General features: G+C 47.6%; 1 protein-coding gene across 17 annotated transcripts in view, besides 1 other annotated feature; it reads left to right on the top strand.

Annotated features, from left to right (window-relative positions):
• QTGAL (queuosine-tRNA galactosyltransferase) overlaps positions 1-21,250 on the top strand; it is a 109,622-nt gene that overhangs the window by 40,821 nt on the left and 47,551 nt on the right. For 14 of the 17 annotated variants that reach the window (XR_007065267.1, XR_002957964.2, XR_002957963.2 and 11 more), the window contains one exon: positions 5,740-5,835. Coding sequence is in view for 7 of the 17 variants with exons in the window: in XM_047435396.1 (XP_047291352.1) it covers positions 5,740-5,835 (96 nt within the window). In the remaining 10 variants the exon portion in view is untranslated. Of the gene's footprint in view, positions 1-3,952; positions 4,970-5,170; positions 5,376-5,739; positions 5,836-21,250 lie in introns of those variants that run through there. The other 3 variants (NR_135466.2, NM_001320743.2, XM_047435397.1) reach the window with 2 other exon arrangements.
• Positions 241-763: an enhancer, noted in NCBI's record as "H3K4me1 hESC enhancer chr17:80968063-80968585 (GRCh37/hg19 assembly coordinates)". NCBI's record gives its function as "activates a minimal SCP1, AML or CMV promoter by ChIP-STARR-seq in primed H9 embryonic stem cells {active_cell/tissue: H9 hESC(primed)}" and the evidence as "EXISTENCE:reporter gene assay evidence [ECO:0000049][PMID:30033119]".

Here is a 21,250-nt window from a genome sequence, read left to right as displayed (position 1 = left end):
ACAGCCTCACCCACCCTCGTGCACTGGGATGGAGCATGCAGGGAGGTGTAGGGAAGCGACGCGGAGGAACAAAGACGGGAGGGTTCCTGTGAAGCAGCCTGGGCCACAGCTTGCCTGTCGGGGGAATGGGTGGAGCCGCCGTGCCCTGCATCCTGGGCGCCGTTCCCCGCTCCTTGCCTGTGCCAAGCCATAATCATCCAGACGGCACGGCAGCCGACTCTCCCTGCTTCCACTTCTGCCCCCACAAGAAGCTGCGTGTTAACTTAAATAAACAGGACTTCCAGGTGTTCTGTTTAAATGAAGTCCGCGGTGCACTCTGCAGCCTTTGTCTGAGGAAGTCCCAGAGCACAGGGCTGGGGCGTCAGCCCCTCTGCACATGCAGCCTGGGAGGGCCACGGCCCCCAGCCCTGTGAGCCCATGCCCAGACCGGTGTGTGACTTCCCAAGCTGGAAGGGGCAGAACATGCCAGACTGGGCCTTGGAGAGGCAGAAGCTGTTGCAGTGACTGACTCAGCTCTTGAAGTTGGAGTGCTTGTGGGCTCTCCTCTGACCGTGCTCTTCGCTCCGGGGGCAGGGAGTGACAGGGTCACACTGGACGGCTGCCTCCGGGCTCTGCTGGGCTGTAGTTCGGGCTGTCAGGCCTGGGTGCTCCTCCTTCACCTTCGCCTTCAACATCGCTGCTCAGGAGTGGCGGCCGAAGCCCCCGGTGCTGGTGACTCTGGACCCTGGGGCGTGGCTCAGCAGCAGCAGTGCTGGAGAAGAGCCGCCTGCCTGGTGGTTGAACGAGCTCCCCAGGCACCCCTGGCTGCCCACAGCACCCCACACCAGGGGCCCCCGCAGCCCCCCCCACACCAGGGTCCCCTGCAGCTCCACACACCAGGGGCCCCCACAGCCCCCCCAGCCCCCCGCCGGGCAGCCCCCCCACACCAGGGGCCCCCACAGCCCCCCAACACCAGGGGCCTCCACAGCTCCCTTCCCCCACAGCTCCCCTCCCCCACAGCCCCCCTCCCCCACAGCAGTGGACGGCAAGTCGTTCACTCCAAGGCAGTGGCCCCAGGGAGCTGATGTTAGTGTCAAAAATGCAACTGGTTTCTTTTCTTTCCTTCAGTGTAATTCAGAAGCTGACTTCTTGAGTCTGTGCCAGAAACGTGTCTTTCTGGGAAGGGGCCCTTCTGAGCTCTCTGCGTTCATTTGCCTCCCGCCTCAGCCCGGCCCCTCCTTCCTCCCTCGCACCCAGCACCATGCACCGAGGGCACCTCACCTGGGTTCACCCAGACACGCTTGACCCTCCTGCGCTGCCCATCGAAGGTCTCGCCCCTTTGCCGTCTTCAGGACTCGGCCTCTGTGGCGAATCCACGGGGAGTCTGAGCTGCAGCCCCAGCAGCCCTGACCTTCTTGCCACCGTCTTTAGAGCCAAGGGCCCTGCAAACTGTGCCAGGCCGTGCAGTGGGGGGACTCACCTCGTGGGTCTCAGTTCCTTTCTGTGTGGGGGGCTTACCTCATGAATCTGAGTTACTTTTTTTTTTTGAGATGGAGTCTTGCTCCGTTGCCCAGGCTGGAGTGCAGGGGTACGGTCTCGGCTCACTGCAACCTCCGCCTCCCAGGTTCAAGTGATTCTCCTGCCTCAGCCTCCTGAGTAGCTGGGATTACAGGTGTGCGCCACCACGCCCGGCTAATTTTTTTGTATTTTTAGTAGAGATAGGGTTTCACCATGTTGGTCAGGCTGGTCTCGAACTCCTGACCTCGTGATCCACCCGCCTCTGCCTTCCAAAGTGCTGGGATTACAGGTGTGAGCCACTGCGCCCAGCCCTGAGTTACGTTCCAGCCCTGAGTTACGTTTTATGATGGGGGACTCACCTCGAGGGTGTGAGTTTCCTTCTGTGTGATGGGTTCACTTGGGAGTGTGAGTTTCCTTCTGTGTGATGGGTTCACCTGGGGGTGTGAGTTTCCTTCTGTGTGATGGGTTCACCTTGCAAGTCTGAGTTTCCGTCTTTGTGGGTCAGGAAGGGCCGCTTGTCTCCATTCGCAGGCATCCTCACCTCTGGACTGCCGGGCTGGGATCATCTCGAGCCCGCACACTCGTTCGGCGGCAGGGATCCGGGCTGGGATCATCTGGAGCCTGCGCACTCGCTCGGCGGCAGGGATCCTGGCTGGGATCATCTGGAGCCCGCGCACTCGCTCAATGGCAGGGATCCGGGCTGGGCGCTTTCTCTCCACGAAGCTGCTCAGGCTTCCTCGCAGCATGGTGGCTGCAAGAACAAGTGTCCAGGAGAGCCTGCCAGAAGCTGCGTTGCCTTTGACAATGTAGCCCCAGAGCACCGTGTCACGTGGTGTCATGCTGACCCCAGATTTGAGGGGAGGGAGCGCAGACCTCACCTCTCAGTGCTTGAGGGTCGATGGCCATGTGAGGAGGGCAGGCAGGGAGGGACTGTGGCAGGCAACTTAGGGAGCACAGCCCCCCGTGTCCCCTCACACCTCCCTTCTGTCAGTATCCTATTCCTTTCAACGTTCTGACTCTTTTTTTCGGTGGAATTGCCAGATCCTGGTGGTCCCCGTATAAATTCAGAAAGAGTTCCAAGATTGCTTGTTGGGATCAACTCCAGCGGCCTGCGCTTTCTGCTCCGCCTGTTGGCACAGAGGCTTTCAAATGAATTAGCTCACAACACTTCTCGAAAGCCTTGAAAGTGGCTTCTTCTAGGAACCTGGAGAAAGTTAGCCAGCCTCTCAGGCCAGCGCACAGGCCTCTCATTCACATCTGCTCACTGGGTCCAGGCCCTGTGCTAGGTGCGGTGCCCACAAAAGCTCCTGCCCTGAGAATCTGACGTCTCGGTGCAGGATTAAGCGCATAGCGCACCTCTTCCCTGCGCCTCCTCCTCCTCTTGAGAGCGTGCCTCTTCCCTGCGCCTCCTCTTGAGAGCGCGAGGTCTCCTGCAGAGGAAGGTGCCGGCAGCATCGCGGCTGGGCGCTGTTGGTCTGTCTGGAATCCACGCCTTCCTACTGCTGTTTAGATGCAGTTGCACGGGAGAGAGCTTGCTGCCTTCTTCCAAGGTTAAAAAATGTTGAGGCCAAAAAAGATCCTCTCACCTCCTCCGTTTATAGACCAATGCTCGTGGCTCGTGGTTAATTAAAGCCACAGGAATTGCCAGCCTCGGGCCTCTAGTTTCACAGGATTCCCCCACCCCGTCCTCACTCTTGGTGAGAGACCCGGTGTGGCTTTACCTTTCCAGGGAAGCATGAAGCTGGGGGAGTCATGGGGAGGGGTCGGGCATGCGCAGTGGAAGCAGGCGTCAATCAGCCCCCGTCCGAGAGGCGCCTCTCATGCCCCAGCGGGATCCAGGCTCTCAGGAGTGGGCTGGCGTGTACTCACCTGTCGCCCACAGCTGCCTCCCAGGACCCGGCAGTGCTGGCCTCAGGGTCTCGGTGTTTGTGTGTAGATGCTGAGCCTCTCTGTCTTCACGTTTTGGAACAAAGGACTTCTACCTCCAGCTTTTGATCAGCTTCCCTCAAAATCTTTTCTGTTCAGCAGTCAAACGTGAGACAGTATAGACAAGACCAGGAAACAGATGCAATTGTACGTAGGTAGATGCTATGCAGGATGCACAGAAACAGACACACCAAACAGTTTAGAAATGCATCTCGGTCAGATTGGGTGTGGGGAAAACTCGCTGGGCAGGGCGGCGGCTCCAGAGCTGTCCTAATTCACAACTATTTTTAGCATGTGCTTTAGGAGAGAGACATGAAAGGTTCACAGATAGAATTCAGCAGCATATGAAAAGAATTACACAGCCATGGCCGAGCACGTTTGTTCCAATTAGAAAATGAGCAAAATACATGAAAAGACATTTCACTAAGGAGGGTGTACAGACGGCAAAGAACCAGGCGAAAAGATGCTCCTCGCCAGCCTTCAGGGAGCCTGTGTTAAAGCACGGTGCCATCAGAACGGAATGAAAACCGAGACACCCAGTGCTGGCGAGAGGCAGAGAAGCTGGATCCTCATGCATCACTGAGGGTGAGAGACGGCGCAACCACTCTGGAGACTGTTTGGAAGTTCCTGTAAAAACTAAACATGTAACTGTTCTGTGACCCGGCAGTTGCTCTCCTGGGCATTTATCCCAGTGGATTGAAGACGCTGTTCACAGACAAACCTGAACTTGAATGTTCGGGATCGCCAGCACAGGACCTGACTACTGTTACATGCAGTGACTGGAAGCCTGTCCTGGGAGCCGAGGAGCAGTGCGAAAGCCGGGCACAGAAGGCCGCCTCCTGCACGTTCCCGGATCATGCTCTGGAGAGCACAGCCACGGCGTCGGGATAGCACAGCCACGGCGTCGGGATAGCACAGCGGCTGCCGTTGAGGGGCTGCCAGTGGCTGTAAGGGGCGCCTCGGGTGCTCGTGCCCTGGGACATCTGGATCTGGACTCCATCATGTCCCTCTCCTGGTGCGGCGTTGACCTTGGGTCCTCGTGATGTTACCACCAGAGGAAGTGGTGAAGGGCACAGAGGGTCTCTCTACAGTTGTTTCTTACAGCTGCAATGTGAATTCACAATTTTCTCAAAGTAAGTTTAATTAAAAAACAACAACAACAACAAATGCAAACAGAAGCCTCCCCCAAGCACGTCATTAACTGCATTGGTAGAAAAGAATCACTCACTACGCGTAAACGCTACACAAGTTGGAGACAGATCCAGGGGCCTCAGATGCCTCGGTGTGACTTCATCGCTTCAGAGTTAGGAGACTGGCTCACTGATACCACTCTTTGGACCACAGTTACATTTTCACTATTGTCTCCTTGTTGGTCTTGGGTGAGACGGAATCAGCTGCGTCCGCTGGGACTTGTGACCTGGGGCCTGTGCTGTGAGAACGTCTACTCGGGAGGCTCTGCTGGCCCTGGGCCCTCACTTGGGGTGGGTGCTGTTTCCTACGGACGCGCCCAGGTGCCCTCTCTCCAGCCAGCTCCTCCCACTGCAAGGTGAGTGTGAGCCCTGAAGGACCTGCCCTCCTACCTCTGGATCTCAGGAGCAGAACAGAGCCAGGGCTGAGTGCTGGGAGCCCACTCCGGGGCAGAGGTCAGGCTGGAGGGGGCCGGGCAGGGCGGAGGGCGGGGGAAGGGTTGAGAAAGGCTGAGGCAGGTGATGCTCTGAGGCTCTGCAGGGCCCGGGAGGGGGTCAAGGCTACTGACAGGATGTCACCTGAGGCAGGGGTGCTGGCCTGGATGCCCGGGGAGAGGGTTGTCGGCCCTGGAGGAAGCCAGCTGGTAGCAAGGCTCTTCTCCACTTAGGGACGCTGCTTTCCTGAGCTGAATGGAGCAGGTTCAGACGGGCGGCCTGCGGACAGGCAGCGGTTTCCTCACATCCACTTTGCATGTGATTCAAGAAGTGAGTTCTTAGAAATAACTCACCTTGCATATGGGCCATTTGATTTGAGTTCATTAAGGGGAAATGTCATCTGTGACATATTCTCAATCCAGCCCAGGGCAGCTCTGTGGTTCACCGCCGAGATGCGCGTCCAGGGCCGTCTTCTGTCGTGCCCATCGTTGCTATGCTGTCCCCAAGCAAAAGCAGGCATCCCTCCTCCTCCTCGCCCTCGACTCCCGGTGTTTGCCTGACCCAGATTTGCAGCATTTCAGTTTCCTGTCTGGACATCTCTGCCTAAAACATGTGAGATGAATACACACAGGTGTGCACATGCACCTGCGTACCTGACTTTGTTTTGAGCTCTGTCTGCCGTTGTTTTTCACAGATCATTGGTTGCAGAGTGAGGAGAGATCCCCCTAACTCCACCGAACGATACACACGTTGGATCAACCAGCTGACGCCGGAGCAGCTCCTAACCCAGGTACCTCGCCTGGCGCCTTGTCTGGGGCAGGTGCACAGGTCGCCTCTGGGCGCCATCTCATGCATTATGCTGTGGCCTCTTGTGTCTGCGTCGTCGTGGGCCGTGGTCCTTCTGTCCTCGCCTTCACTCACATGCCATCAATCGCACAGAGTGGAAGATGAGAGTGGCCCCAGCGGACACATGTGCTAGGCTGGTCTCAGGCCGGCAGTTCAGGCTGGTTCAAGTTCTGAGCTGGGAAACCCGACCGCACAGGTCCACTTACACGCGGAGGGCGGGAGGGTGAGCTCAGTAATCCCACACGCAGACCGCAGAGGGCAGGAAGGCGAGCTCAGGAATCCCACACGCGGACTGCGGAGGGTGGGAGGGCGGGCTCAGGAATCCCACACGCGGACTGCAGAGAGTGGGAGGGCGGGCTCAGGAATCCCACACGCGGACTGCGGAGGGTGGGAGGGCGAGCTCAGGAATCCCACACGCGGAGTGCGGAGGGTGGGAGGGCGAGCTCAGGAATCCCACATGCGGACTGCAGAGAGTGGGAGGGCGAGCTCAGGAATCCCACACGCGGACTGCAGAGAGTGGGAGGGCGAGCTCAGGAATCCCACACGCGGAGGGCGGGAGGGCGAGCTCAGGAATCCCACACGCGGACTGCAGAGAGTGGGAGGGCGAGCTCAGGAATCCCACACGCGGAGGGCGGGAGGGCGGGCTCAGGAATCCCACACGCGGACTGCAGAGAGTGGGAGGGCGAGCTCAGGAATCCCACACGCGGAGGGCGGGAGGGCGAGCTCAGGAATCCCACACGCGGACTGCAGAGAGTGGGAGGGCGGGCTCAGGAATCCCACACGCGGAGGGCGGGAGGGCGGGCTCAGGAATCCCACACGCGGACTGCGGAGAGTGGGAGGGCGGGCTCAGGAATCCCACACGCGGAGGGCGGGAGGGCGGGCTCAGGAATCCCACACGCGGACTGCGGAGAGTGGGAGGGCGAGCTCAGGAATCCCACACGCGGAGGGCGGGAGGGCGGGCTCAGGAATCCCACACGCGGACTGCAGAGAGTGGGAGGGCGGGCTCAGGAATCCCACACGCGGAGGGCGGGAGGGCGGGCTCAGGAATCCCACATGCGGAGGGCGGGAGGGCGGGCTCAGGAATCCCACACGCGGACTGCGGAGAGTGGGAGGGCGAGCTCAGGAATCCCACACGCGGAGGGCGGGAGGGCGAGCTCAGGAATCCCACACGCGGACTGCAGAGAGTGGGAGGGCGAGCTCAGGAATCCCACACGCGGACTGCAGAGAGTGGGAGGGTGGGCTCAGGAATCCCACACGCGGACTGCAGAGAGTGGGAGGGCGGGCTCAGGAATCCCACACGCGGAGGGCGGGAGGGCGGGCTCAGGAATCCCACATGCGGAGGGCGGGAGGGCGGGCTCAGGAATCCCACACGCGGACTGCAGAGAGTGGGAGGGCGAGCTCAGGAATCCCACACGCGGACTGCAGAGAGTGGGAGGGTGGGCTCAGGAATCCCACACGCGGACTGCAGAGAGTGGGAGGGCGGGCTCAGGAATCCCACACGCGGACTGCAGAGAGTGGGAGGGCGGGCTCAGGAATCCCACACGCGGACTGCAGAGAGTGGGAGGGCGAGCTCAGGAATCCCACACGCGGAGGGCGGGAGGGCGGGCTCAGGAATCCCACACGCGGACTGCGGAGAGTGGGAGGGCGGGCTCAGGAATCCCACACGCGGACTGCAGAGAGTGGGAGGGCGAGCTCAGGAATCCCACACGCGGAGGGCGGGAGGGCGGGCTCAGGAATCCCACACGCGGACTGCGGAGGGCGGGAGGGCGGGCTCAGGAATCCCACACGCGGAGGGCGGGAGGGCGGGCTCAGGAATCCCACACGCGGACTGCAGAGAGTGGGAGGGCGGGCTCAGGAATCCCACACGCGGAGGGCGGGCTCAGGAATCCCACACGCGGACTGCAGAGAGTGGGAGGGCGAGCTCAGGAATCCCACACGCGGAGGGCGGGAGGGCGGGCTCAGGAATCCCACACGCGGACTGCGGAGAGTGGGAGGGCGGGCTCAGGAATCCCACACGCGGAGGGCGGGAGGGCGGGCTCAGGAATCCCACACGCGGAGGGCGGGAGGGCGGGCTCAGGAATCCCACACGCGGACTGCGGAGAGTGGGAGGGCGGGCTCAGGAATCCCACACGCGGAGGGCGGGAGGGCGGGCTCAGGAATCCCACACGCGGAGGGCGGGCTCAGGAATCCCACACGCGGACTGCAGAGAGTGGGAGGGCGGGCTCAGGAATCCCACAGCTAGTGTTTCAGCGTCTCCGTGTCCCGTGTGCCCCCAGCACGTTCCAAGAGCCAGGCTGCTGCATGCGATGTGGACAACAGGGTGTCCTCGGCAGTGGACTGTGCTTCTGTGAGACTGGACACGGGGCCGCCCGCGGTGCCGCCTCGGGTATGACTGGCTGCCGTCTGAGGGAGGGGACGTGGCCGTTGCCACATGGGTGGCTTGTCCCTGCCATCCTCTGTGGGGCCCTTGGCTGCCCCTGGGGGAGGCAGAGACCATCTTGTGGTCATGTCATGACAGCCCTTCCCTGTACGAGCTAGCGGCCGAGGGCGCGTGTCCTGGTGACTAGGCTGCACACTGTGAGTGAGTTGCTGTGCTTTTCAGTGAAGTTGTGAAAATACTTAAAACGGGAACTCAGGCAGACTGTGGCTACTTTTCTAAGTAACGTGCACCTCGTGCAAACCGGAATGCGGTTCGGCGTTGCCAAGCTGGTTCTGAACTGCAGCAGTCTGGACACATGTTGAGTTTCAGCCCAGCTCCAGACCGCGGTCAGAGCGCTGTCACCGAGAGCGGGTTCCCCGGAGGCCATGGCTGAGCTGCCCCGTGGGGGCAGGCTTTCTCCTGAGTGTTAGCTTTGATGCCCATAGAAGAGTTTTTTATTTTCATGTTTTTTAATTAAAATGAATCAATGTTCTTTTATCAGTTACATACTGTATTCACTTAAAACAATTTTAAAATAGACCTTCATGCCAGTATAGTGTGGGAAATTTAAAAAAAAAAAAAAGGCGCAGTGGCTCACGCCTATAATCCCAGCACTTTGAGAGGCTGAAGCAGGAGGATCACTTGAGCCTGGGGATTTAAGACCAGTCTGCGCAATATAGTGAGACCCTGTCTCTACGAAACATTATCTGGGTGTGGTGGTTCACACCTTTAGTCCCAGTTTCTCGGGAGGCTGAGGTGGGAGGATCACCTGAGCCCAGGAGGTCAAGGCCACCATGAGCCATGATTGTACCACTGCCCTCCAGCCTGGGCAACAGACCCTGTCTCAAAAAAAGAAAAAGAAAAACTTTATTGCATTTGTCAAAAGTTATGCTTCACTGTTTCATAAAGTCAAGCAATATAAAAAATTACAGAGAAAAAACGATGTTACTGCAAACCCACCACTTGTTCCTCTCAGATGTCTCTGTGTGCAGGTCACACACCCAGCACCTAGAGGGGCTCCCGTCCCCCACCCCGCCCGCCCCTCTGCTTTCTGTGACCATAGACTGGTTTACGTTTGCTGGAATTTTACGTAAATGGAGTCCTACACCCTGTGTTGACTTGAAGGATGCCGAAGTGTTCCTTCCTGGGACTTTCTGTTTCATAAAGTTCTGTTTTTCTCCTCCTTGTCCACTTTCTCATCTTCTTCCTTTTTTCTTCACAGTTTCTGGTTTGAATTGAGATCTAAAGAAGGTGCATACATTGCAGTTGTTGATAAATCCCTTTAAATATCCAGATTCCTCCGTCTTCCTTTTCCTTGACTATGTTGTGGACGATGTTGAATGATTTGCCATCGGTGCTTTCAGTAGTCCGACTTCTGCTGATTGCATCTCCCTGGTCTCATTTAACAGATTCCTCTGTCCCTGGAGTTCCTGCAAAGTAGTACTTAGAGCTAGAGGCTTTATGGGATTTACAGTGATTTGTCCATTTGTCTTGTTGATGTATACCTTTGTTGATGTATAGCTTTGTTGATGTATAACTGACATACAGCAAATGGCCCCTATTTCAAATGTACAGTTTGATCGGTTTTGACATGTGTCTGTACCCCAGTGACCCACCACAGTCAACACAGTGAACACATATATCCAACACCCCAAGTTTCCTCCTGTCCATCCCGGAGCCCTCCCCACACCATGCAACCATGACCCACTTTCTGCCTGCACAGCAGTTTTACATTTGCTGGAGGCTCAGGTAAATGCAGTCATGTGCTGTGTGCTTCACTGGTCTGGCCACCTTCACTCAGCATAATTACTGTGGGTCCAGATGCGTGGCTCGCTCACAGCAGTGGTGACCCTCGAACAGTGTGTTGGAACTGCACAGCCTACGTACACTTGGGTTTTTCTCAGCAAGTGTATTGGAGAGGTTTTTGGAGATGTGTAACAATTTGGAAAAGCTTTCAGACAAACAGCATGGCCTAGGAATACTGAAAACACTAACAAAAAGATGTGTCATGAGTACATAAAATATATAGTGATGCTAGTGTTTTTAAATCATGTAATACCAAAAATTATACACAAATCTATTATAAAAAGTTAAAATTTATCAAAACTTAACATGCATACAAACACTTATAGACCACATATGGGGTCTTTCACAGTTTAGAGAAATTAAACAAATGTAGGGATGCAGAAATGAATCACAACTGCACAAAACTCACTGCAGTGCGTGCTGCACGACTGATGTTTTACAAACCCCTCCTGCCGGCACAGCCGCGAGCTCAGGTGCTGTGAGTGCTTAAAACGCTGGGTGAGGCTGATCATCTCCGCAAGCACAGCTCCTCCCTCCAGTAAATCACAAATCACAGTAAAAAAGTGATCTCTCGGCCAGGCGCAGTGGCTCATGCCTGTAATCCCAGCGCTTTCGGAGGCCAAGGCAGGTGGATCATGAGGTCAGGAGTTCGAGACCAGCCTGGCCAAGATGGTGAAACCCCGTCCCTACTAAAAATACAAAAATTAGCCAGGCACAGTGACAGGTGCCTGTAATCCCAGCTACATGGGAGGCTGAGGCAGGAGAATCGCTTGAACCCAGGTGGCAGAGGTTGCAGTGAGCTGAGATCGCGCCACTGCACTCTAGCCTGGGCGACAGAGCGAGACTCCATCTCAAAAAAACAAAACAAAACAAAAAACAACAACAAAAAAAACCAGTGACCTCTCACAGTTTTCACACAGTTTTAATCATGTTTAAGGCGATCCTATAAACCTTGAGTGACACCCTAGGACCCATACACAGTGCCACTGGTAATGCTGGAGGTGCTCCCAAAAAGCAGAGAAAAGTCATGACATTACAAGAAAAAGCTGAATTCCTTGCTATGTACTGTAGACTGAGGGCTGCAGCTGTGGTCATTTCAGACAGATGATTCTTGTAAACAGACTACGTGAACTTAGGGTATCAATAAATACAGTACAGTACCATAAATGTATTTTCTCTTCCTTATGATTTTCTTAATAAGCTTTTCTTTCCTCTAGCTTACTTTATTGTAAAAATACAGCATATAGTACATATAACATACAAAATATGTGTTAACCGACCGTTGATGTTATCGGTAAGGCTTCCCATCAACAGGAAGGCATTAGTGGTTAAATTTTCGGGGAGTTAAAACTTATACATGGATTTTCAACTGTGCAGGGGGTCAGCACCCCTAACCCCCACATTGTTCAGGGGTCAGCTGTGTTCTGTGGTGTGGATGTACAATTTGTTTACCCACTTAGCTGTAGATGGACATTTGAGTTGTTCCAGTTCCTTGCACATTTGTGTACAAGCCTTTGTGCATGACAGTGAACATATGTACAAGCCTTTGTGTGTGCATGACAGTGAACATATGTACAAGCCTTTGTGTGTGCATGACAGTGAACATATGTACAAGCCTTTGTGCATGACAGTGAACATATGTACAAGCCTTTGTGTGTGCATGACAGTGAATATATGTCCAGCCTTTTCTCTTGGGAAAATACTTAGAAGTGGAAGGGCTGGTTCATATGGTAGGGATGTGTTTCACTTTTAAAGAAACTGCCAAAGTGCTTTCCAAATTGGTTGCACCATTTTACATTCTCAAGCCATGTATGAGAATTCAGTTCTTCCATGTCCTTGCCAACTCTTGATATGATCTTTTTTTTTTTTTAATTTTAGCTAATCTAGTAGGTATGTAGTGGTATCTCGTGGTGATTTTAGTTTGCATTTCTCAAATGGGTAATAATGTGAAACATCTTTTCGTAGATGTATTTGCCATCCGTGTATCTTCTTTGGTAAAGTGTCTGTTCACATCCTTTGCCCATTTTTGTGTTGAATTGTTTGCATTCTTATTGTTGAATTTTAAGAGTTGTTTATATATTCCAGACACAAGTCCTTTGTCAGACTTTGTAAATATGTTTTCTGAGTCAGTGGCTTGTCTTTTCATTCTTTTAACAATGTCTTTCAAAGAGTAGAAGTTGTAATTTTTGGGCCAGGCATGGTGGCTCACGCCTGTAATCCCAGCACTTTGGGAGGCCAAGGTGGGTGGATCATGAGGTCAGGCAGTTGAGACCATCCTGGCTGACACAGTGACACCCCATCTCTACTAAAAATACAAAAAATTAGCCAGGCATGGTGGTGGGCGCCTGTAGTCCCAGCTACTCAGGAGGCTGAGGCAGGAGAATGGCATGAACCCGGGAGGCAGAGCTTGCAGTGAGCCGAGATTGTGCCACTGCACTCCAGCCTGGGAGACAGAGTGAAACTCCGTCTCAAAACAAAACAAAACAAACAAAGTTGTAATTTTTGATGAAATTCAATTTATCTATTTTCCTTTTATGGACATGCTTTTTTAGATTTAAAATTTTTTTAAATTATTGTGGGTACATAGTAAGTACGTATATTTATGGATTATGTGAGATATTTGCATATAGGCATGCAGTGCATGATAATCACATCAGGGTAAATGGGGTATCCGTCACTTCACCTCAAGCATTTATCCTTTGTGTTACAAACAATACAACTATATTCTTTTAGTTATTTTTAAGTGTAGAGTTAAACTAATTTTGACTATAGTCACCCTGTTGTGCCAGCAAATTCTAGGTCTTATTCATTCTTTGTAACTATATATATCTAGATATATATCTATATATAGATATAGATAGATAGATAGATCTAGATAGATATAGATATATATATATATATATTTTTTTTTTTAAACCCATTAACCTTCCCTACTTCCCTCCCACCACCCACTACTCTTCCCAGCCTCTGGTAACCATCCTTTTATTCTCTATCTCCATGAGGTCAATTGTTTGAATGTTTAGCTCCCACAAATAAGCGAGAACATGTGAAGTTTGTCTTTCTGTGTCTGGCTTATTTCACTTAACATAATGACCCCCCAGTGCCGTCTATGTTGTTGCAAATGCCAGGATCTCATTCATACACTTCATTGTGTGTATGTACCACATTTCTTTATTCATTCATGTGATGATAGACATTTAGATTGTTTCCAAATCTTGGCTATTGTGAATAGTGCTGCAGTGAATACGTGAGTGCAGGCAACTCTTTGATATACTGATTTCCTTTCTTTTGAGCATATACCCAGGAGAGGGATTGCTGGATCATACAGTGGCTCTATTTTTAGTTTTTTGAGGAACCTCCAAACTGTTCTCCATAGTGGTTGTACTAATTTACATTCCCACCGACATTGTACAGGGGTTCCCTTTTCTTCACATCTTCACCAGCATTTGTTATGGACTGATTTTTTGGATAAAAGCCATTTTAACTGGAATGAGAAAAATTGTATGTTTTATTTGCATTTCTCTGATGATCAGTGATGTTGAGCACCTTTTCATGTGCCTGTTTGCTATTTGTCTTCTTTTGAGAAGTGTCTGTTCAGATCTTTTGCCCACATTTAATCGGATTATTCTATTTTTCCTAGAGTTGTTTGAGCTCTGTATATGTTCTGGTTATTAATCCCTTGTCAGATGGGTAATTTACAAATATTTTCTCCCATTCTGTGGGTTGTCTCTTCACTTTGTTGATAGTTTCCTTTGCTGTACAGAAGCTTTTTAACTTGATGTGATCCCGTCTGCCCATTTTTGCTTTGGTTGCCTGTGCTTGTGGGGTCTTACTCAAGAAATCGTTGCCCAGTCCAATGTCCTAGAGAATTTCCCCAATGTTTTCTTTCAGTAGTTTCATAGTTTGAAGTCTTAAATGTAAGTCTTTAATCCATTTTGATTTGATTTTTGCATATGGTGAAAGATAGGGGTCTAATTTCATTCTTTTGCATATGGATATCCAGTTTTCCCAACACCATTTATTGAAGAGACCATCTCTTCCCCAATGTAAGTTCTTGGCATGTTTGTCAAAAATGAGTTCACTGTAGATATATTGATTTATCTATGGGTTCTCTATTCTGTTCCACGGATCTATGTGTCTGTTTTTATGCAAGTACCATGCTGTTTTGATTGCTATAGCTCTGTAGTCTAAGTCAGGTAATGTGATTCCTCCAATTTTGTTCCTCTTGCTTAGGATAGCTGGGGCTATTCTGGTTCTTCTGTGGTTTCATATAAATTTTAGGGTTGTGTTTTCTATTTTTTTTTTTTTTTTTGAGGCAGAGTCTCGCTCTGTCATCCAGGCTGGAGTGCAGTCGCGCGTTCTCGGCTCACTGCAACCTCTGCCTCCAGGGTTCGAGTGATTCTCCTGCCTCAGCTTGCTGAGCAGCTGGGACTACAGGTGCGCACCACCATACCCAGCTAATTTTGTATTTTTAATGGAGAGGGGGTTTCACCATATTGGCCAGGGCTGGTCTCAAACTCCTGACCTCATGATCCACCTGCCTTGGCCTCCCAAAGTGCTGGGATTACAGGCATGAGCCACTGCACCCAGCCTGTGTTTTCTGTTTTTGTGAAGAATGCCATTGGTATTTTGATAGGGATTGCATTAAATCTATAGATTGCTTTGGGTAGTATAGATATTTTAACAATAGTCGTTCTTCGAATCCGTGAACCTGGAATATCTTTCCATTTTTTTGGTGCCTTCTTTAATTTCTTGCATCAGTGTTTTATAGTTTTCATCATAGAGATCTTTCACTCCTTTGGTTGAGTTAATTCCTTGGTAATTTTATTTTAGTTATCACTGTTGTAAATGAGATTACTCTTCTTTAATTTCTTGCATCAGTGTTTTATAGTTTTCATCGTAGAGATCTTTCACTCCTTTGGTTGAGTTAATTCCTAGGCATTTTATTTTAGTTATCACTATTGTAAATGAGATTACTCTTCTTTAATTTCTTGCATCAGTGTTTTATAGTTTTCATTGTAGAGATCTTTCACTCTTTTATTTTAGTTAATTCCTAGATATTTTATTTTATTTGTAGCTATTGTAAATGAGATTACTTTCTTGATTTCTTTTTCAAATTGTTCACTGTTGGCATATAGAAATGCTACTGATGGCCGGACATAGTGGCTCACATCTATAATCCCAGCACTTTGGGAGGGCGAGGTGGGTGGATCATGAGGTCAGGAGATCGAGACCCATCCTGGTTAACATAGCGAAACCCCGTCTCTACTTAAAATATACAAAATTAGCCAGGCGTGGTGGCACATGCCTGTAATCCCAGCTACTTGGGAGGCTGAGGCAGGAGAATTGCTTGAACCCGGGAAGCAGAGGTTGCAGTGAGCCAAGATCATGCCACTGCACTCCAGCCTGGGTGACAGGGTGAGACTCCATCTCAAAAAAAAAAAAAAAGAAAAAGAAATGCTACTGACTTTTGTATGTTGATTTTGTATCCTGAAACTTTGCTGAGTTTGTTTATCAGGTCTAATAGTTGTTTGGTGGAGTCTTTAGGTTTTTTTAAAATATAAGATTATATCATCTGCAAACATGGAGAATTTGACTTCTTCCTTTCCAATTTGGATGCCCTTTATTTCTCTTGCCTGATTGCTTTAGCTAGGACTTTCAGTACAATGTTGAATAACAGTGGTGACAGTAGGCATGCTTGTCATGTTCCCAATCTCAGAGGAAAGGCTTTCAGTTTTTCTTCATTCAATATGATACTAATTGTGGATCTTTTGTATATGGCTTTTATTATGTTAAGGGATGTTCCTTCTATACCTTGCTTTTTAGGATTTTTAATCATGAAGAGATGTTGAATGTTATCAAATGCTTTTTCAGCATGAATTGAATTGATCATATGGTTTTTGTGTCTATTCTGTTGACATGATGTATCACATTAATTGATTTGCATATGTTGAACTATCCTTGCATCCCTGGAATAAATCCCACTTGGTCGTGATGAATGATCTTTTTAATGTGTTGTTGAATTCGGTTTGCTAGTACTTTGTTGAGGATTTCAGTGGTTACAGTGATATTGGCCTATAGTTTTAATTTTTTTATGTGTCTTTGTCTGGTTTTGGTATCAGGGTAAAATTGGTCTTGTAGAGTGAGTTTGGAAGTATTCCTTCCTCCTCTATTTTTTGGAATAATTTGGGTAGGATTGGTATTAGTTCTTTAAATGTTTGGTAGATTTCAGCAGTGAAGCCATTGGGTCCCAGGCTTTTCTTTGCTAGGAGACTTTGTATTATGACTTTGACCCTGTTACTTGTTATTGATCTATTTAGGTTTTGGATTTTTTCATGGTTCAGTCTTGGTAGGCTGTATGTGTCTAGGAATTTTGATTTTTTTTCCTAGATTTTCTAGATCTCTTCCCCTAGATTTATTTCTAATTTTTCTAAATTTTTCCCTTAGATTTTCCAATTTATTGGTGTATACTTGCTCATACTAGCCACTAATTTCTTTGAATTTCTCCAGTATCAGTTGTAATGTCTCTCTTTTCATCCCTGATTTTATTTGGGTGTTCTCTCTTTTTTTGTTAGTCTGGCTAAAAGTTTATCAATTTTGTTTATCTTTTCAAAGAACCAACTTTTTGTTTCATTGATCTTTTGTATTTTCTTTATGTTGAATTCATTTATTTCTGCTCTGATTTTTGTTATTTATTTTCTTCTACTAATTTTGGGTTTGTTGCTTTTCTAGTTGCTTAAGATGCATTGTTAGGTTGTTTATTTGAAGGTTTTCTTCTTTTTTGATGTAGACACTTATAACTATTTAAAACTTCCTTCTTAGTACTGTTTTTGCTATATCCTATAGGTTTTGGTATGTTGTGTTTCCATTATCATTTGTTTCAAGAAATGTTTTAAGTTCCTTCTTACTTTCTTCATTGACCCACTTGTCATTCAGGAGCATATTGTTAAATTACCATTGTTTGTATAGTTTCCAAAATTCCTCTTATTGATTTCTAGTTTTAGTCCATTAAATAAAACTAGATATTTTAGTAGTCAGAGGAGATGCTTGATATTATTTCAGGTGTTTTTTTTTTTAATGTTGTAAGACTTGTTTTGTGACCTAACAAATGATCTGTCCTTGAGGATGATCCATGTGCTGCGGAAAAGAATGTGTACTCCGCAGCCAATGGAGGAAATATTTTGTAAATATCTATTAGGTCCATTTGGTCTGTAGCACAGATTAAGTCCAATGTTTCTTGTTGATTTTCTGTCTGGAAAATCTGTTCAGTGCTGAAAATTGAAGGTGTTGAAGAGGGTGTTGAAGTCTCCAGATGTTATTATATTGAGGGTCTATCTCTTTAGCTTTAATAATATTTTGCTTTATATATCTGGGTGCTACAATATTGGGTGCATATATATTTATGACTGTTATATTCTCTTGAGTTGACCTTTTTATCATCATATGGTGACCTTCTTTGTCTCATAATTTTTTTCTTTAAATCTATTTCATCTGAGATAGACCCTCAATATAAGTATAGCTACTCCTGCTCTTTTCTGGTTCCATTGGCATGGAGTATGTTTTTCCACTGCTTTATTTTAAGCCTGTTTCTTTAGAAGCCAGGTGTGTTTCTTGTAGGCAACAGATCATTGGGTCTTGTTTTTTAATCCATTCAGCCACTCTATGTCTTTTGATTGGAGAATTTAATCCACTTACATTTAATGTTACTATTGATAAATAAGGACTTACTCCTGCCATTTTGTTATTTGTTTTCTGGTTGTATTTTGGTATTCTCCTCTTCCTTTCCTTCCTTCATGTCTTCCTTTTAGTGAAGGTGATTTTCTCTGGCAATATGATTTGATTTCTTGCTTTTTATGGTTTGTGTATTCATTGTATATTTTTTATTTGAGGTTACCACCAGGCTTACAAATATTATCTTATTACCCATTATTTTAAGCTAATAACAACTTAATACTATTTGCATAAACAAACATGCAAGCAAAAAGAAAACTAATAAAAACTCTATACCTTAACTTTGTCCCCCACTTTTTAACTTTTTGTTGTTTCTATTTATATCTTATTGTACTATCTGTTGAAAAGTTATTATAGTTATTCTTTTTGATTGGTTCATTGTTCAGTCTTTCACTTAAGAGTAGTTTACACACCACAGTTACAGCATTATAATACTTTGTGTTTTTCTGTGTACTCATATTAGCAGTGAGTTTTGTACCTTCAGGTGATTTCTTTTTGCTCATTAATATCCCTTTCTTTCTGATTAAAGTACTCTCTTTAGCATTTCTTGTAGGACAGGTCTGGTGTTGATAATATCCCTCAGCTTTTGTTTGTCTGGGAAAGTCTTTATCTCTCCTTCATGTTTGAAGGATATTTTCATTGGATATACTATTCTAGTGTAAAAGTTTTTTCCTTCAGCACGTTACATATGTCATGCCATCCTCTCCTAGGCATGAAAGACTGACCTGTAAAGTTTCTACCGAAAAGTCTGCTGCCAGACATATTGCAGCTCCATTGTGTTATTTGTTTCTTTTCTCTTGCTGCTTGTAGGGTCCTTTCTTTATCCTTGACCTTCAGGAGTTTGATTATTAAATGCCTTGAGGTAGTCTTCTTTGGGTTAAATCTGCTTGGTGTTCTATAACCTCTTTATTCTTGGATATTGATAGCTTTCTCTAGGTTTGGGAAGTTATTATCCCTTTGAATAAATTTTCTACCCCTATCTCTCTACCTCCTTTTTAGGGCCAATAACTCTTAGATTTGCCCTTTTGAGGTGATTTTCTAGATATTGTAGGCATGCTTCATTATTGTTTATTCTTTTTTATTTTGTCTTCTCTGACTATGTATTTTCAAATAGCCTTTCTTCAAGCTCACTAATTCTTCTGCTTGATCAATTCTGCTATTAAAAAGTTCTGATTCATTCTTTAGTATGTCAACTGCATTTTTCAGCTCCAGAATTTCTGCTTCTTTTTAATTATTTTAATCTCTTTGTTAATTTTTTTAAATAGAATTCCGAATACCTTCTGTGTTATCTTGAATTTCTCTGAGTTTCCTCAGAACAACTACTTTGAATTCTCTGACTGAAAGGTCACATATCTCTGTTTCTCCAGGATTGGTCCCTGGTGCCTCATTTAGTTCATTTGGTAAGGTCATGTTTTCCAGGATGGTCTTGATGCTTATGGATGTTCATCTGTGTCTGGGCATTGCAGAGATAGGTATTTGTCATATAGTCTTTGCAGTCTATGTTTGTTCGTACCTGTCCTTCTTGGAAAGGCTTTCCAGGTAGTCAGTAGGACTTGAGTGTTGCGATCTAAGCTGCATCTGCATTCCACTTGGCTGGGGAGGCCTCACAATCATGGCAGAAGGCAAGGAGGACCAAGCTTACGTGGATGGCGACAGGCAAAGAGAGAATGAGAGAGAAGCGAAATCGGAAACCCCATGTAAAACCATCAGATCTTGTGAGACTTATTCACTACCATGAGAACAGTATGGGGGAAACTGCCCTCATGATTCAGTTATCTCCCACTGGGTCCTTCCCACAACACGTGGGAATTATGGGAGTACAATTCAAGATGAGATTTGGGTAGGGACACAGCCAAACCATATCAGCCACCTTGCTCCCCACTCCCCGCCCATGGATGTGGTTTTGATGTTGTATCTAAGAAATCTTTGGCTAACCCAGTTCACAAAAGTTTTCCTCCTGTTTTCTTCTAAAAAGTGTATAGTTTTGGGTTTTACATACAGATCTACAATCCATTTTTTAGTTAATTTTCATCTACGATCTGGATTATTATCTTAATCAGCTCAGGCTGCCATAACAAAATGCCAGAGGCTAGGTGGCTTAAACAACAGAATTTATTTTCTCACAATTCTGGAAGCTGGAAAGTCTTAGATCAAGACCTGGCAGGGCTTGCTTTCTGATGTGGCTCTTCCTGGCTTGCAGACACCCACCTTTTCTCTGAACCCTGATATGGCAGAGACAGAGGGAGAGAGAGCAGGCTCTGTGGTGTCTCTTATTATAAAGACACTGATCCCAGTAGAGCCCCACCCTCACGTGAAATCTAATCATCTCCCAGAGGCCCCATTTCCACAATACCTCAAATAGGGGGTTAGGGCTTCAACCAGTGCCTGTCACAGTCCTGGAAGACAGAATCTCCAGTGCTGTAATTCTGAAATTTGAAATCCCTAAAGATCAAAATCCCCAAATCTAAAATTCCTAGCATCTAACTGAATCCCCAAACTATAATGATGGATTTGGAATTAGGTGCCATCAAGTCTTCTGTAAGTGAATTTCAAGTTGTTACCAATAAAGTTTGTTTTTTCCATTCAGTCCAATGCATTTGGTGCAAAATCCAGATGAGTGGCTTGGCCACGTGATATGGCAGTGACAGAAACTTCCGTTTAAAAATGAGTTGAGTCTCTTGCCTACGATGGCGAGTCTCTTGCCTGTGTTGGCGTTCCTGCTGATGACACTGCCTGCGTTGGCGTTCCTCCCAGCTGATCACACACTGAGAGCTTTTAGGGAATCATGGCCACATTTGCCCAAAGAAACCAGCAAAGTGACTGACTGCTTCAAAATAATTGTGTGTATAGTAGGATAAGAAGACACTTACACAACAGTGTTCTGTTCCATCACCAGTATGGTTTGTATTAAACCTGGGGTCTGTACAAGAGGGCATGCAGAATGCATATCCACGTACCCAGAACAACACAGAAGCACAGCATGGAAGACGGGAAAATGTAAGGAGAAGGCTTATCCTGGTGTGTGTCAAATCACAGAGGAGTTTCAAAAAGAGCAGTGCCGCAGAGAAGATGAATGTGAGCTCATTCTCCAAGGAAGCCATGTCTTAAAAGAAAGCGGTTATCCATTGTGATGCAAACCTTCAAAATACACTTAATGATTGTGAAAGTCAGCCAGCTCTTAGGGACTGTTTCTGTGCAATTGCCCGTAATATACTCCTGTGGTATACTTTTTCATAAATCAGATTTTCTGTTTAGTTTTTTATTGTTTGTAATTTTTTCTATTTTTGTTTGTTTTTTCTATTTTAAATTGTCAGCATTATGTTTTACAATCACTATGCTTGTGTTTCACCTTTGCATCATTTCTTTTACAGAGCTGTAATTCATTTATGCATCTTTTTGCAAA

The sequence above is a fragment of the Homo sapiens genome, chromosome 17 (genome assembly GCF_000001405.40).
Source record: "Homo sapiens chromosome 17, GRCh38.p14 Primary Assembly".
In the NCBI taxonomy this organism is placed as follows: Eukaryota; Metazoa; Chordata; class Mammalia; order Primates; family Hominidae; genus Homo; species Homo sapiens.
This window is presented reverse-complemented; position numbering and strand designations above follow the sequence as displayed.